The 15,253-nt window shown below is 35.7% G+C and overlaps 1 protein-coding gene across 5 annotated transcripts in view, besides 1 other annotated feature; it reads right to left on the bottom strand.

Annotated features, from left to right (window-relative positions):
- Positions 1-15,253, bottom strand: part of SYNPO2 (synaptopodin 2) — a 210,567-nt gene that overhangs the window by 139,866 nt on the left and 55,448 nt on the right. The window lies entirely within an intron of this gene.
- Positions 3,678-4,178: an enhancer, noted in NCBI's record as "H3K27ac hESC enhancer chr4:119838359-119838859 (GRCh37/hg19 assembly coordinates)". NCBI's record gives its function as "activates a minimal SCP1, AML or CMV promoter by ChIP-STARR-seq in primed H9 embryonic stem cells {active_cell/tissue: H9 hESC(primed)}" and the evidence as "EXISTENCE:reporter gene assay evidence [ECO:0000049][PMID:30033119]".

Below are 15,253 nucleotides of genomic sequence, written 5' to 3'. Positions count from 1 at the left end.
TGAAGGCAAGATCCAGACTAAAGATATGATGGTATCATGAATATAATGATGGTAGTAGTACTTATGAGAATGAAACAATCTCTAAGGGATAGCATGTAGAGTGAGAAGACAGTGGACTGACCATGAAATCCTACAGAATACCAACATTTAAGGACTAGGTAAAGAACTCAGGTTGGGCCAGGTGTGGTGGCTCACACCTGTGATATCAGCACTTTGGGAGCCCAAGGTGGGAGGATCTGTTGAGGCCAGGAGTTCAAGACCAGCCTGGACAACACAGCGAGACTCTGTCTCTACAAAATAAAAGTAAAAAATAGCCATGCGTGTTGATGCGCGCTTGTAGTCCCAGCTACTAGGGAAGCTGAGGAGGGAGGATCACTTGATTCCAGATCCCAGGAGTCTGACATCATAGTGAGCTATGATGGCACCACTGCACTCAAGCATAGGTGACAGAGCTAGACCCTCTCTCTAACAAGAAAAAAAAAAAGGAAAAAAGAAAAGAAATCAGGTGGATCTTAATAACAATCTTCCCCAGCCAGACATCATTCTTGATTTGGCCAGTTTGCCCACCTACTGCCTGGTTATTATATGATTGGTGTCCAAAAAAAAATGGTTTCATATGTGTACTGTGAAAATATTTATTTGTTTTAAGATTTATTTTAACCTCAGCAAAATTGTTCCAATATGCAATTTTAATAAATCTGGGGTATGGAATACATATTTCTTACATTACACTCAAACTACAAAGAGTTCTTTTGATGGTTAAATTACTTTACAGTTTAGAGAAAGACAGAAAATTATTGCCTTTCCTCTGTTCCATGGTGGATTATTTTGTTCTTAGAGTTCTGTCCAAGACAGAACAAGTATCTGGTGCTGTGCCTACTGTGGGTGCCAAGTGTTCTTGTATTTACTCTAATACGTGCACAGTCGAATCACTTAGATAAAAGTTGTTTTTTATGACATGGGTGATCTCACTCACTCCAATGACTTCAACCACCAGCTGCACACAGATGAATTCTAGTCCTTCCCTTTTCCTGAGCTCTGAGTTCTTATATAAAATTGCTTACTAGGCACCCTGGCTGTCCTTCAGCAAACTCACTCTAAAAATACATAAAAGTAAACTCCTTATCTTTCCTTACATACTTATTCCTTCTCCTATAGTCGCTGTTTTCACAAATTACTCTAAATTCCGCTCAAATATCCAAGTCATCCCAGATTCCTCTTTCTCCTTCATTGCCTCCCACAACTCTTCAACCACCTTATCCTACAGGATCCAATTATTTTGCATCAATGGTATCTATCTCCTCTTCTCTACCACTAATTTCTGCCACCTATACTAAAATGATAATTTTATAACTGCTCTCCCAGCCTTCAGTCTCTCATCCGTCCAATAATTTCTCCACCAGTTATCATATTATTCCCATTATTTAAATATCTGTGGTGGATTCCCATTGCCATTATCAAACTCCAGCTTCTTAGCAGGGATCACAAGTCCCTGAATGAGGAGGCTCCTGCCTAACTCTCCACTACATCTTGTTTGCTGCATAGTGAGCCTCTGGTTGTAGCCAACTCCTGTACTCAGTCTCTTTAACAGATCGTGCTGGTTTATGCCTTAAGGCTGTTGCCTCGAACACTTTCTGTGATTCTCTCCTCCATCCTGAAAGACACCTTCTCATATTTCGAGCTATATATTCCACCTTCTAGAAAACTTTCCGATCTCTCTCCATCCTCTTTTGTGCCTCCACTGTCCCCTATACCATCTTCTACAATAACACTTGCAAAATCATATTACACTAATTGGGTCACATATTTGACTGCCTCTATAATATGTAAGCTTTTTGAAGAGAAGAACTTTATAATATTCATCCTGGCATCCCTAGAGCCCAGTTTGATTTATGGTATGCCCTTAACTGATGTTTACTGACATCAAAACAGCTTTAAAAGTTGATACCTAGATGAATAAACTTTTATTTTTTCAGTCAATTACTTCGGTATGCAAAAAGTAGCCAAATTATGAGAGGGGAGTATGGCTAAGTACAGTGACTACAAAGAGGTTTCAGCTCAAAGTCCAATTCTCATCAATTCCAAATGACTGACAAGGAAACAAGCTTGAGAGACAGGGAGGCTCAATCCAGGCTCAGAAGAATGAGTGCAATGATCGACTAGCGCTTCCTGTCATATTAATGCCTAATATTTGCTCTCCCTCATATTATGTAAGTATTCAATAAGCAAGCCTTTTTGATTAAATATTCAATGAGTATTTTTGAATACTTGTGCACATGACTGAATCAGTGTCTGTATTCAAAGCATATATTCATTAGGAACACCATGCTAAAAATGGCAAAACATTTCTGCTGGTGCTGCCATAGAATTTTTAAAATGTATATTTAGTTTCATAATAGTCCTAATTTTAGCATATTCTGTCTGGTTGGTACAATTAATAATATTTTTAAAAACATTTTAAAACTTTTTAATCTGTATTTTGATGGACTTGGAAATCTAAAATAGTCATTGCATTACCTTCAAAATACTTGATGAAGAATTAAATTATTGCTACCTAATATAACTGTGTATGTCATGTCTTCTGGCAAACTAGCAATATTGAGTTTGAAAGGCAAATGAAAATCTTATCCCGATGTTTGGACTAAGTTGTTTTTAAGGAACAACTTACTTTATCTGCAAAGCAGATTTAAGTAAACGCAATCTGTAAAATTTTCTTTTAGAAACTACTCTCTTGTTCCACATCATCAAATTAGAATGTTTCATTATAATTTTATCTGAACTCTATATGCTCTAGTGCTGCTCTGCAAATGAGTCAGAGGAGAACTATTCCCAGTTTGCAGCCAATTCTCCAGAGAAGCAAAGGAAAAAAGAAACAACTGCCTTTTAAGGAAATCAAACCTGTTTCTAGTGATAAACCCCTTTCCATTTCTATTTGAACATAGTCTCAACAACCAACGAACAGAATACTATGAAATAATGTGTAAAATACATTACCTATTGGATGAACCACTTAGCCAAACACATCTGTAGGTTTGTTTAATGTTTTTCATATACCATAATCTATTACATATAAACAAATTATATAAATATACACACCTGGGTACATGTGAAATGATAAAATAACTTTTTTCAGCAAACATTAAGACATCTGGTTTCAGTTTGGAATTATATGTTGGCAAACATTGTTTAAAAAATGGATTTTTTAAAGTTTAAAAAAAGAACTTTCAGTTTCTAGAAAGTTTTTATAATGTGGAATTTGTATGGCAAAGAATTTGTATAAAAAGCTGAATGGGAAGGATTGCTAAAGGTAAGCTCATGCAGCAGGCACTCTTCACCTACTTTCTCTTCTACCTAACTCAACAATTTGATGGGAAAACTGCCAATTCAGTTTGTACTTCTAACTTTTTTGTTCTTTGAATTTAGAAAGTGACAGAATGTAAAAATTTAGTATATAGGGCCTGCTACTATATATTTAGCTATTTTTCCAATATTTTGCAATCATGTTATTCTCCTTACATTATACCAAAGTATTTCTATCACAAATCTTTTTTATCAGTGTCTCAGAATGGACTAGAGAAATGACTCATGGCATAATAAAAAATCTCTTTTCAAAAGCATAAATGATGATGCCTATTTAGTAACACAAAATCGTTCTTACAGATTGAAATATTGTATTAGCATTGCTGCCTGGAAGTCACATATAATAAGGGACAAACATTCATATATGCACATGTATTTACATAGCATGAAACCACGTTTTGGTTTTGACCAAATTGTTTCTATTTCTAACAGCAAAGCTACAGAAGAAGAATTCAAAAATTAAAAAGCTGGATTTTCATCTATTGAATCACAAAACTCTGACACTATTATTCATTGAAGAGATTACCATGGTTGAATTCTCTGAATTTAAGGTGAGTTTCTTTTGTTTGTTTCTTTTTTGTTGTTTGTTTCTTTGTTTTTTTTGTTTGTTGGTTGGTTTGTTTTCTGTTCGAGATGGAGTTTCACTCTTATTACCCAGGCTAGAGTCCAATGGTGCGATCTTGGCTCACTGCAAACTCTGCCTCCTGGGTTCAAGCGATTCTCCTGTCAGCCTCCCAAGTAGCTGGGATTACAGGCACTCGCCACCACACCCAGCTATTTTTTTGTATTTTTAGTAGAGACGGGGTTTCATCATGTTGGCCAGGCTGGTCTCAAACTCCTGACGTCAGGCGATCCACCCGCCTTGGCCTCCCAAAGTGCTGGAATTTCAGGTGTGAGCCACTGTGCCTGGCCTGTTTCTTTGTGTTTTAATCAAATGACTTTACATCTCCAAGATGATTAAAACAAATTTTTTGAAAACAGCAGAAGGGCGGGGCACGGTGGCTCAGGCCTGTAATCCCAACACTTTGAGAGGCTGAGGCAAGAGGATTACTTGTGGCAAGGGGCTGGAGACCAGCCTGGACAACAGAGCAAGACTCTGTCTCTACTAAAAATAAAAAAAGATTAGCCAGGCATGGTGACGCATCTTTGTAGCCCTTGCTACTTAAGAGGCTGAAGTTGAAGGATTACTTGAACCAAGGAGTTCAAGGCTGCAGTGAGCTATGACTGCATCACTGCACTCCAGCCCGGGGGACAGAGTAAGACCCTGTTTCTAGAAAAAAAAAAAAAAAAAAGAAAGAAAAATAAAAGAGGAAGAGGAAGAAGAAAAAGAAAGCAGAAATGCTCTGAAACTTCAAAAACAGCATTATATCTAAGAATAAAAAGTTTATTATAAAAATATATGGTAAAACATTTTAAGAAAACATTTTAAAATAATAATTTTAAAACTCAAGATCTAATAGTAAGTAATAGGTTTATATTTCTTAGACTTGGAGTAGCAAAAGATTTCTCTAACAAAACCTGAAACCATTAACTATAAAAGAAAAAAATAGGCCAGGCTCTGTGACTCACCCCTGTAGTCCCAGCATTTTGGGAGGCTGAGGGGGGTGGATCACTTGAGCCCAGGAGGTCGAGACCAGCCTGGCCAACATGGTGAAACCCCATTTCTACAAAAAATACAAAAATCAGCTGGGTGTGGTGGTGCGTGCCTTTATTCCCAGCTACTCAGGAGACTGAGGTGAGAGGATCACTTGAGCCCAGCAGGTTGAGGCTGCAGTGAGCTAAGATTGTACCACTGCACTCCAGCCTGGATGACAGAGCAAGATTCTGTCTCAGAAAAAAAAAAAAACCCAAAAAACCCTAAGTTTGACATATTAAAATTGTTATTCATCAAAAGAAACCTTAAATAACATGAAAATATGGGTTATAATATAGAAAGGTCATTCACCATATATACAATGAACAAAGCGTAATATGAAAATTATATAAAGTACTTGTACTAATCAATAACACAAACAATTTAATGTAAAAATGTTCTAAAGAACACACAGCCAATAAATGTATGAAGAGATATTTAATTTACGTGGTAGTCATGAAAATAGAAATCAAGACCACAATTAGGTACCATTTTATATCTAGCAAAATGGCAAAAATAAAAATAAAAAAATAAAAAGTCTAATAAAATGAAGCATTAAGAAGTTGTAGAGCCGCAGGATGCCTTTTATATTGTTGGTGGAAATGTAAAATCATGCATCAACTTGAACAAGAGTTTGGCATTTTCTCCTAAGCATGATCATTTACAAACCTATGACCCAGCAATTCCATTCCTGGGTATACAACTAAAAGAAGTCTTTGCCCATGTACAAGAGGAAACATGTTCTAGTAACACGTGTTCACAATAGCAAAAACCTGGAGCAACCCAGATGCCCATCAACAAGAGAATGGTGAGTGAACTGCGGGATACTCACACAATGAAATATTACACATTAGAAAAAATAAATTAACCAGAGTTACAGCCATATGGATAAATCCTAGTGGTAATATCTTAAGTGGAAAAACAAGTCCCGAAGATTACATACAGCATGGTACCCTTTTAAAAAAGCTAAAACCAACTAAAATAAAAATATCTACTTTCTAGGAATGTGTAAATATTCAATAAAACTATATAAAAAGAAAGGTAAGTAATGGAATAGAATTCAGAATGACAGTTACCTCAGGTGGGGAGAGGCAGGGTGATAATATTGGGGTTGAGGTCGTTAATGTCAGACATCAGGTATTATCTTAGTTTTTGTTTGGGGAGTTGGTATTACATATGTTTATGATATTATTAGAAATAATTTAAGAAGTGTGCTATGAACTAAGAATTATAATTTTTCAGCTCTCGTATTCCTGTTATCCAAAGTAAAATTTAAAAATAAATTTAAATAACTAAAAATTCATGATCTATGGCTCAAATGCTTTAGAAGGCTTTCAGACAGTGACCTTATTCATTGATTTTTCTGTTTTTTTTTTTGTAGAACTTTTTTGCATCTAGTATTTTTCATTATATAATAAATACTTCCAAATATCAAAATGAAGTATATAAAACATAAACATATTAAGCACAAACTTCAGTGAATTCTAATCCTTTCCAACTCCACTAGTTTTGCTACAAGAGTAACTACCCTGTCTTACTCAGTCTTTCTCCCTCTCCTACCAATATTCTAAGAAACACTTTCCTGGGCCATCTTTTCCCTCAAGTAGGTGCCATCTTCACTCTTCCTGTTTTCTCACCAATTACATTTTATTTGCTGTCTTTCCTTTACTGCCAAACTTTAAATATAATTATCTAGACTCTATGTCTCCACTTGCTGTCTTCTAATTCTCATTTCTCAGCCAACTATTATGTGGCTTCCATCCCTATCATTTTATTGAGAAATATCACAAAAAAACCCTCCCAGATATCAAATGTGTGGTCTTCTTACCAACCTCTTCATTGAACCCACAATATCTGTCACTAATAAATAATTCCTTGAAATACTCTCCTTTTTAAACTTACCAGAAATACTTATCCTCTTTCTATCTTTCTAATGACTTATTTTAACTTTTTTCCATTGACTCTTCTTTCTCTGTCCATACTTTAATTATTGGTCTTCTCCAATTTTCTGTACATACTCTGTTCTCTTGGCTTCTTGCTTCAGGTATTTCAGCTATTATCCCTAGATTTCCTCTAGCCCTGGCCATTCTCCTGAACCCAGACTGATACTCTTAATTCTGCATTAAAAATCTCCTTCTGTATGCTCTATAGATAACTTAAATTCAATTTATTTAAAATTAAATTTATTTTTTTCTATAATTGCTCATCGTCCTCTAATACAATCTCTCAATAAATCCAACATCCATCCCTTTGTCATCCAAGATGAAACAATCAAATTACTGTCCACTCCTCTCCTGACCCCACCATCCATATCCTATATCCTTCTAATTTGTCTATGTTTCTTCCTTTTCAGCCCTGGTGCTATGGGCGTGATCTAGAATCCTATTATTTCTCACATGGCGTATGGTAATCACCATTCTCCAAGCTCCACCCTTTGATCCATTTCCACATTGCCATCAGTCATCTACCCAAGTATGCATCAGATAATGTCATCTCCCTGTTTAGAAATCTTTAATAAGAATTTGGGAGAAATAATTTTTAATGAATAAGATGATGCATTTGAAAGGAAGAAGACAGAGACTTTTAAACCTGGTTCTTTGAGTTAATAAACTCAGAAGTTGTAAAAGTATCTTTTAACCCTTTCCATGATGGTGAGGTAGCAAGATCTTCATTATGGCTTTTCTCACAATGTTTTCCTGCGACCCTGACACAAAGACCTCACACAAACTATGGAAAATGAGTGTAGAGCTTGAATGTTATTACAGGAACACACCAATGAGTTTTTCTGCTGCACACACACACACACACACACACACACACACACAAACAATAAATGAAAGAAGGCTCAAGATGAGCATTTTGAATTCTAGCTATTTGAATTCTGTTTTATACATAATTCACTGACCTTTCTCACAATACTGTAACTGAAACTATAACACCAGAGCTGGAATGTTCTTGAAAAAGTTTAGTCTCTACAGACTTCTTGCCATTCATTGACATGCCATGATCTTGCAAGCCTTCTGTGTCATTGCTCCAGGTACTCCCTAGGTCTGGAAGTTCTCGGTCCAATTCAGACATCAGGGTCTAGTTTGAATGTTAACACTTCTCTTTATTGCTCCCTGATGATACTATGCAGAATTAATTTTTTCATGATTTGTATTTCATAATACATTATATTAATATATTCCTCTCTTTAAAGCCTTGTCATCTTGTATAATAGTTATAAATCTGCCTTTTCCATGAAAATTTCTTAAGAGCAAGGATAATGTCTTTTTCACCCTAGAACCTAGCATAGTACTGTTGCACAAAGCAAACAGTAAGTATATGCTTACTGAATTAAAATGAATATCAAAAGCTAATGCTAACAATTAGTTGGAATCCATAAACCTGGGAAGTATGGTTGATTTTGCCTTGAAATAACTCTTCTAATGGTCATAGACCCAACTTGGAAAATTACATGAAAAAATAATTCTTACAGTGAAGTTGAAGCTACAAACAAAAATAATAACCATGTGTTTAGCTAAACGTTTTTCTGTTAATTATGCCTGAGATTGTTTTATAACTGCTGAGTCTCAATGCTAATTATACTGAGCTTGCCCAACTAAAACCCTAAAGTCCTATTTTTTTCTGAACTACTATCTAGTTGGTACTACCTTAAAATATAATTATTTAAATTAAATGTGGATTTTGCATGTACTGTTCTAGCTAGGGCTTTCAGGTAGATAAGTTCCATTGGAAGGATAATTAGAGGGAAAAAATGGTTAGAATTTATAGAAAAGTCTTTATTTGAACAGCTGTCATAGAAACAAGGAGTAGACAGTCAAGTTTTTACTAAAGGTAGAACTTAAATCAATAAGAAATTATAAGAAGGAAGATTTACCTAAATTTTTAAACAATTTTTTCCTTTTGGCCAGGCACCATGGCTCATGCCTATAATCCCAGCAATTTAGGGGGCTGAAACAGGTGGATTACTTGAGTCCAGGAGTTTGAGACCAGCCTGGGCAACATGGTGAAACCCTGTGTCTACTAAAAGTACAAAAATTAGCTGGGTCTGGTGGCATGCACCTGTAGTCCCAGCTACTGGGGAGGCTGAAATGGGAAGCTCATTCGAGCCCAGGAAGTTGAGGTGCAGTGAGCCATAGTCACTCTACTGCACTCCGGCCTGGGCAACCAGAGTGAGATCCTGCCTCTGACAAACAAACAAATTTCTTTGTTTAATGATGATCAACAATTAATTCTTTAGATTTCATTGCATCTCGTGATCAGAACTAATTTTTTAAAGGCTAGTGGTTTATTTATCAGTGATGTTGTAAAAAGAAGTCCTCTACCTAGAAGCAGGTTATATCAAAAGAGATATCTCTTTCAAATTCTAAGATTTTATGAGCCCATTAATGCTTTCCATAATTTTCACTCATTGGCATTCTTTAATCAATCTTATTTTGCACCTAGACTTGATCCTGTCAATTGGCTTAACCTGTCATTCATCTCTGTGCCTTTAGGGAAATTTCTCTTTACTGTATAAGTCTATGTGTTCATTGTATTTAGCTCTATTGTGGGATTGGAGGGGGGGAGTTGCTGAATGAAAATGGGATTTGTAAACAAAATAATTTTTAGTTCATGTCTCATCTCAACTCCTAGAATTAATGATCTAAAGAGCTTCTAAATGTTGGTATCTCTTATTTCTTCCCATGATGGTGAGATGGCAAAACCTTCCCTATGATCTTTCATGCATAGTTTTCCTTTGACTCTTACACAGAGACTTCATGCAAACTACAGAGACTATAGAGTTTTTAATGCTATCATGGGAACTTGCCAAGAAACTTTTATGCATGCACAAAGAAAATAAAACAACAAAAGAAAGAACGAAAGGATCAGGCATCAGAGATGAACATTCTGGTATTTCCACTCCAGCTGCTTGAAAGGTGACTAGATTGAATAGAAAAACAAATGGTGAATCGGGGAAAGCAAAGATTGAATTAATCTCAGACGTACATCTGGAGTTTATAAGAGAGAAGCAGAGAAATTCCTTGTGACTGATCCATATTAATAGATAACCAAGGCAGTTCATGCAGTTATAATGCAGGCAATTCCCAATTATCCCTGATAATGGACCTAGGCATAGCATAAAATGATTTGATATCTCAACTCAAAGATGCATTAGCTTCAACATTTCCTCCTCGTACCAATTAGATTTTCTTAAACCAAAAATTTTTTATCTTTGCTTCATCCGAGGACTAAAGGACAGACAATAAATAGGAAAATCCAGGATAGATCTCTTAGATACTTATTAAAGATCTTTTATGTGTGAGAAATCATCAGATAAAAGAAATATAAAGTATATTTCCTGTCTGTAAGAGACTCGCCATTTTCTATGGGGAAAAGTACATACACTTGGGAAAAGTCAAAATAAATTAACACTATATCATTAAGCACCAACTGCACAGGCATTGACAGCACAAGGCATTGACAATTTTAGAAAATAAAGTACTCATGTTTTGTTGGGAGAGGAGTCATGAAAACAACTGGACTTTAAAGGATGATTCTCAAAAAAAAGTAAAAAAGAAAAGTAGTTGGGTACATAAATAAGAAACAAGAATTTGTTCTGGTGCTGTGTTCTTTTTAACCTAGCTCAGAATGAACTATTGGATTAGACTGCACACTCACACACACACACAAACACACACTCATCCACCCACATGCTAAAGTTTTAAACAATATAGCTTTTCTATGAAATGTGAAGGTAGTTGGTGAAAATTCTCTGAAGCCACTAGTCCCTAAAAGCACTCTTCTCTTTGTTTGGAAATCAGCACACTGATTTTCCCTGTCTATCTTATCAATTAGCAGAAATTTGCAATACTTAAGTGCACCATATTTCTCATAAACACACACACACACACATAATTAAACAAGTAACTTCTAAACATTTGGGCTCATAAAGATTAAGGGAATTTTGAAAGCTGTAAAAATGGAAATTCCCGGTGCAACGCACCTCCTTCAGATATGAGTATAGGCGTGTTATGCAAGGTCAAAAGAAAATTGAGAGGGAAAAACAATCACAGCACAGAAAGGAAAAACAAAGTTGACTGATCTCATTCTCCCTTCATTCTCCCCTGACATCTTTTTTACATAATGTCTCCTGTCACAAGGAGGCTACAAGTCAGGGTTTAGGAGAGGAGAAGCATCATGTCAAACTCTGCACCTGGAACAATCTTTAAGAGAAAACAACAGTGAGAAATAGCCACATGTGTTGCTGCAAAGACAGAAATCTGAGATTGAACACAACAACCCAGAAGGGACTGGTGAACCGTCAATACTTTAGCTACATGAATGATTTGGAGGTCATAGTAAAATAGACGTTGGAAATGGAAAACAAAAAATAATGGGGAAGGGGGTGGAATTATGCTCAGGTCATCTGTTTTCAACAAATGGAAGAGATCAGGAACGCATTGTGAATGATCAGTAAATGCCACTGTACAACTGCGGTGTCGTCTCATTTGTAATTATTTTAGTTTATAGATAACCTTTGGTATGTGGATACCAACTTCTGTCAAGAGTCAGAGATATGGACTCAGGCTGGGCCCTGGAAATCACACAGATATAAGTGTAATGGCAATGCTCCCAGGACACTAATAATTGCAAGTTTGCTGGCTCAAGAGCCCCGGCAGCAGATGCAGCATCTCCCTCTGCTCCTCCATGCACAGGAATAAGTTCACTGACATCTTCTGCTCCAGCCTTCCCAAGCGTGGGCAGGGCCCACAATTTATTCTGCATCTGCCACTATCAAAGCTGTCTATGTATGAGAAAAAAGAGTGGGAAAACACCCTTCCACAGTGCTGTGTCCCACATTAGCACCTGGACTCTGGCACAATTAGTGTCCTGAGTTTAATGGAAAACAGTTCCTAAGTTCCCACGTACTCTCTCTCCACTGGAGTGTTCCTGGGCAAGTCCAGGGAACAGGCATCTTCATATCTCACACATGCTCTCCCCTCTCCCACACCCCCAAACATATCAACTCCTGTAGGTCAATACCCCCAGGGACATCTTTTTAGCCTAGGCTTACTCAGGACCAGCCCTATTACCAAGACAAAACTCAATTAAGAGCCATGTAAATGGAATAGATGTCTACGTGTATGTCAGTTCTCATCCCCCGTATGTTTCACAACCCTGAAAAGAGCTTTATCCTCTATACTAGGCATCCCTCAGTGTGAATTTGCAATCACAGGTATTTTTTGTTAATGTCACAAGGATGTTCGAGGGTACATATGAGCCGTGTGTCCATATTTCATTGCAGAGTCACTCCCATGAATCTGGACTCCAGGTCAGGCTGCTGGGCATGTTGAGGGGTACATCTGCAGTGCCAGATAATTGAACAATGGATCAGAAGATGGCCATTCCTCTATGCCTTTATGTTACGGGGGCCCAATCTTTTAAAAAACACATTATTTAGTTCCTTTTTCTAACAACCAGATAGGTCAGGAATCTTTAAGCAATATTAAAACTAAATTCTGTAAACTATATTAAAAACAAAATAAAGGTTTTTATAGTACTTTTGTGAATTAGAACAAAAAATTAATTACAAGATCCAAATTTCAACGGCCTTCTCTTGAAACGGACCCTATAACCTTAGTAGGGCAGTGGTATGACGGCATTTATAACTCCTGTTCTATAAGGCTTTATCATGTGCACAACCTATTTTCACGTATCTCCCAAAAGAGAGATACCAGAATTTAATTATTTTTTAGGATAGATTTTTTTATTTGATTTATCCTGTCTTGATAATTCCATGAAAAGCTGCAAACCCAGACTTCCTAAGCTTTAATACCTTCCTGCCCATTGCTTTTAGAACATTGATCATACTTACGAATGTTTTTTATCCTGAAACGATCTGGAAATCTAATCGAACTAAAATGTGAGAATTTTCTTCTATCAAAAATTTTTTCAAGTCAATTTTTAAAGTACCAAATCACTATTAATATTTTAAAATGTTTAGAAATGGAAGTATGTTACCTAGATTATTTGACATTGACATATACTTATTTTATCAGCCAAAAGAAATCTGTATTGGCCAATATAATGAGTAACAAGTACATGATAAGAAAAGTTCTCTTTATGTGTAAAACAGCCTTCAAATTAATTCACATATTCTTAATTTTTACAAAAATATAAAATAAAAGAAAGGAAATAATTTTAAGAAAGCCATCATTTATCATATTCTCATACTAAGCAACTCCACATTTAGGAATTTATTCTAGAGGGATGATCAGAAAAGTGCGTAAATATCTTTTACATATACAAAAGTATTCATCTCAACACTATCTGTAATGGTTAAAAATTAGAAATAACCTACATGTTCAATAGGGAATTAGTTAAGTCAATAACGGTCAATCTATATAATGTATAATACTACACAGCCATTAAAAATTATGATGTAAATCAGTATTCATGGACATGGAAAGACGTCCATGATGTGTCATTTAATAAGAAAGCACATTAAGTACCATTCCTTTTCATGGAATGGAAGGTAAGAGTGATTGTGAGTTGATGTGTGTACAGAGGGGTCTGAAAACTTTCTCCCCAAAGTGTTAATAATGTGGTATTTCTGGCTGGTATAGTTTTTCCTTTATTTTTATCCTTTTCTGTAATGTTTGAATTACTTTTATAATGACAATGTGTCATTTTTATATTTCAAAAATTAAAGCCATTTTCAATTCTAGTTATTTTAGGGGTTTACAGTATAGACTGTAAAGAAGTCATTTGTAGGACACAGCCATGATTTGATTGAAACAGTGCATTTTAAGATGTGGCACTATACTAATCAAGTCCAAGTATACCAATGACTCCTTTTTCTCTTTGACATATTTACCCAAATGAGCGGTTTAAGGAATAGATGAACAATGTCAAACATATCCTCTCTTCTCCCATTTCCATCAAATTTGAATGCTTCATAGAAGTAGACAGCTAAGTCAGAGTATTGTAGCAGTTTTAATAATGGAAATGAATGGTTTTAACTCTACAAGATGGTCTGTATCAGTTGTTTCTTTGGGATTTCTAGTGGGGGAAGGCAAACAAAACATAAAAGCTATAAATCATATTGGATCCAAAGTTTGAGTAAAGAAGTTAGATTTATAAAAAGATCAATTGTGTTTAAATCCATGCACTGTTAATGACGTTTTTTAAAAAACATATTGATTACATTTTCGTATGGTGGGGAACTGCTTCATTATTTTAAAAAGTTATAAGGAAAAGAAAATAATTAAGCATTTATTTTTCAAAAGGGCCAGGCTCAGTGTCTCACACCTGTAATCCAGCACTTCGGAAGGCTGAGGTGGGAGAATAGCTTGAAACTAGGATTTCAAGACCAGCCTTGGCAACAAAGCGAGACCCTGTCTCTACAAAAAATAGAAAAAAAAAAAATTAGCTGGGTGTGGTGGCACACACCTGTGGTCCTAGCTACTTAGGAGGCTGAGGTGGGAGGAACACTTGGAGTTGGAGGCTGTAGTGAGCTATGATGGTGCCACTACAGTCCAGCCTGGGCAAACTGTTTCCTAAGAAAAATAAAAATAATAAAATAATTAAAAAGGAGCTGCATTGGAAAAGGCTGAATTCAATAGTAATTTGCTAAAATACCATTTTAGGCATAAAAAAAGATCTAGTAAGGTACACACTAAATTGGTAGCATTTTGAGAGCTCTTCTCTTTTTTAAACAAAGATACAAATTATAATTTGGAGAAATTCAAATAAAATCCCCAAACAATACTGTATAAATAATTATCCTTTCCAGAAAACACTTCCTTATTTTTCAAATTCACTGAGACAATATGACCACTCATGGGCATTTTCTTTCTCTCATTATTGTCTTGATTTAAAATAGCTCTAATCAAAAAGAACCTTAAAATCATCAACTCTAAATTTTTTGTTTTATAAATAGAGCAACTGAGAGCCAGGTAGTGTCAGTGATATAGTTAAGGTAATGGAGGTAAGAGAAATTAGACTCATACCTCGAATTCAGGTCTCCTGATTCTCAGTTCAATCAACAGTCTTTCCACTGAAGCTCTTGGATTTGCATCTTGTTACTACATACTATTACATTAAAAATCTGAACACACACATGTACAACATATATATATATCACTCTTCTAATTACTCTTTATATAAGTTGCTTATTTTTTTAAAAAAAAGCAAAACCTCAGCAAAATCAGGCTTTTCAATAGTTGCCACTCTTGAACTAACAATAAAAGATGTACAGTCATTCATTCATTT

This window comes from Homo sapiens, chromosome 4 (assembly GCF_000001405.40).
Source record: "Homo sapiens chromosome 4, GRCh38.p14 Primary Assembly".
Classification (NCBI taxonomy): Eukaryota; Metazoa; Chordata; class Mammalia; order Primates; family Hominidae; genus Homo; species Homo sapiens.
Note: the sequence above shows the minus strand (reverse complement) of the source record. Positions and strands in the feature narration are given on the sequence as shown.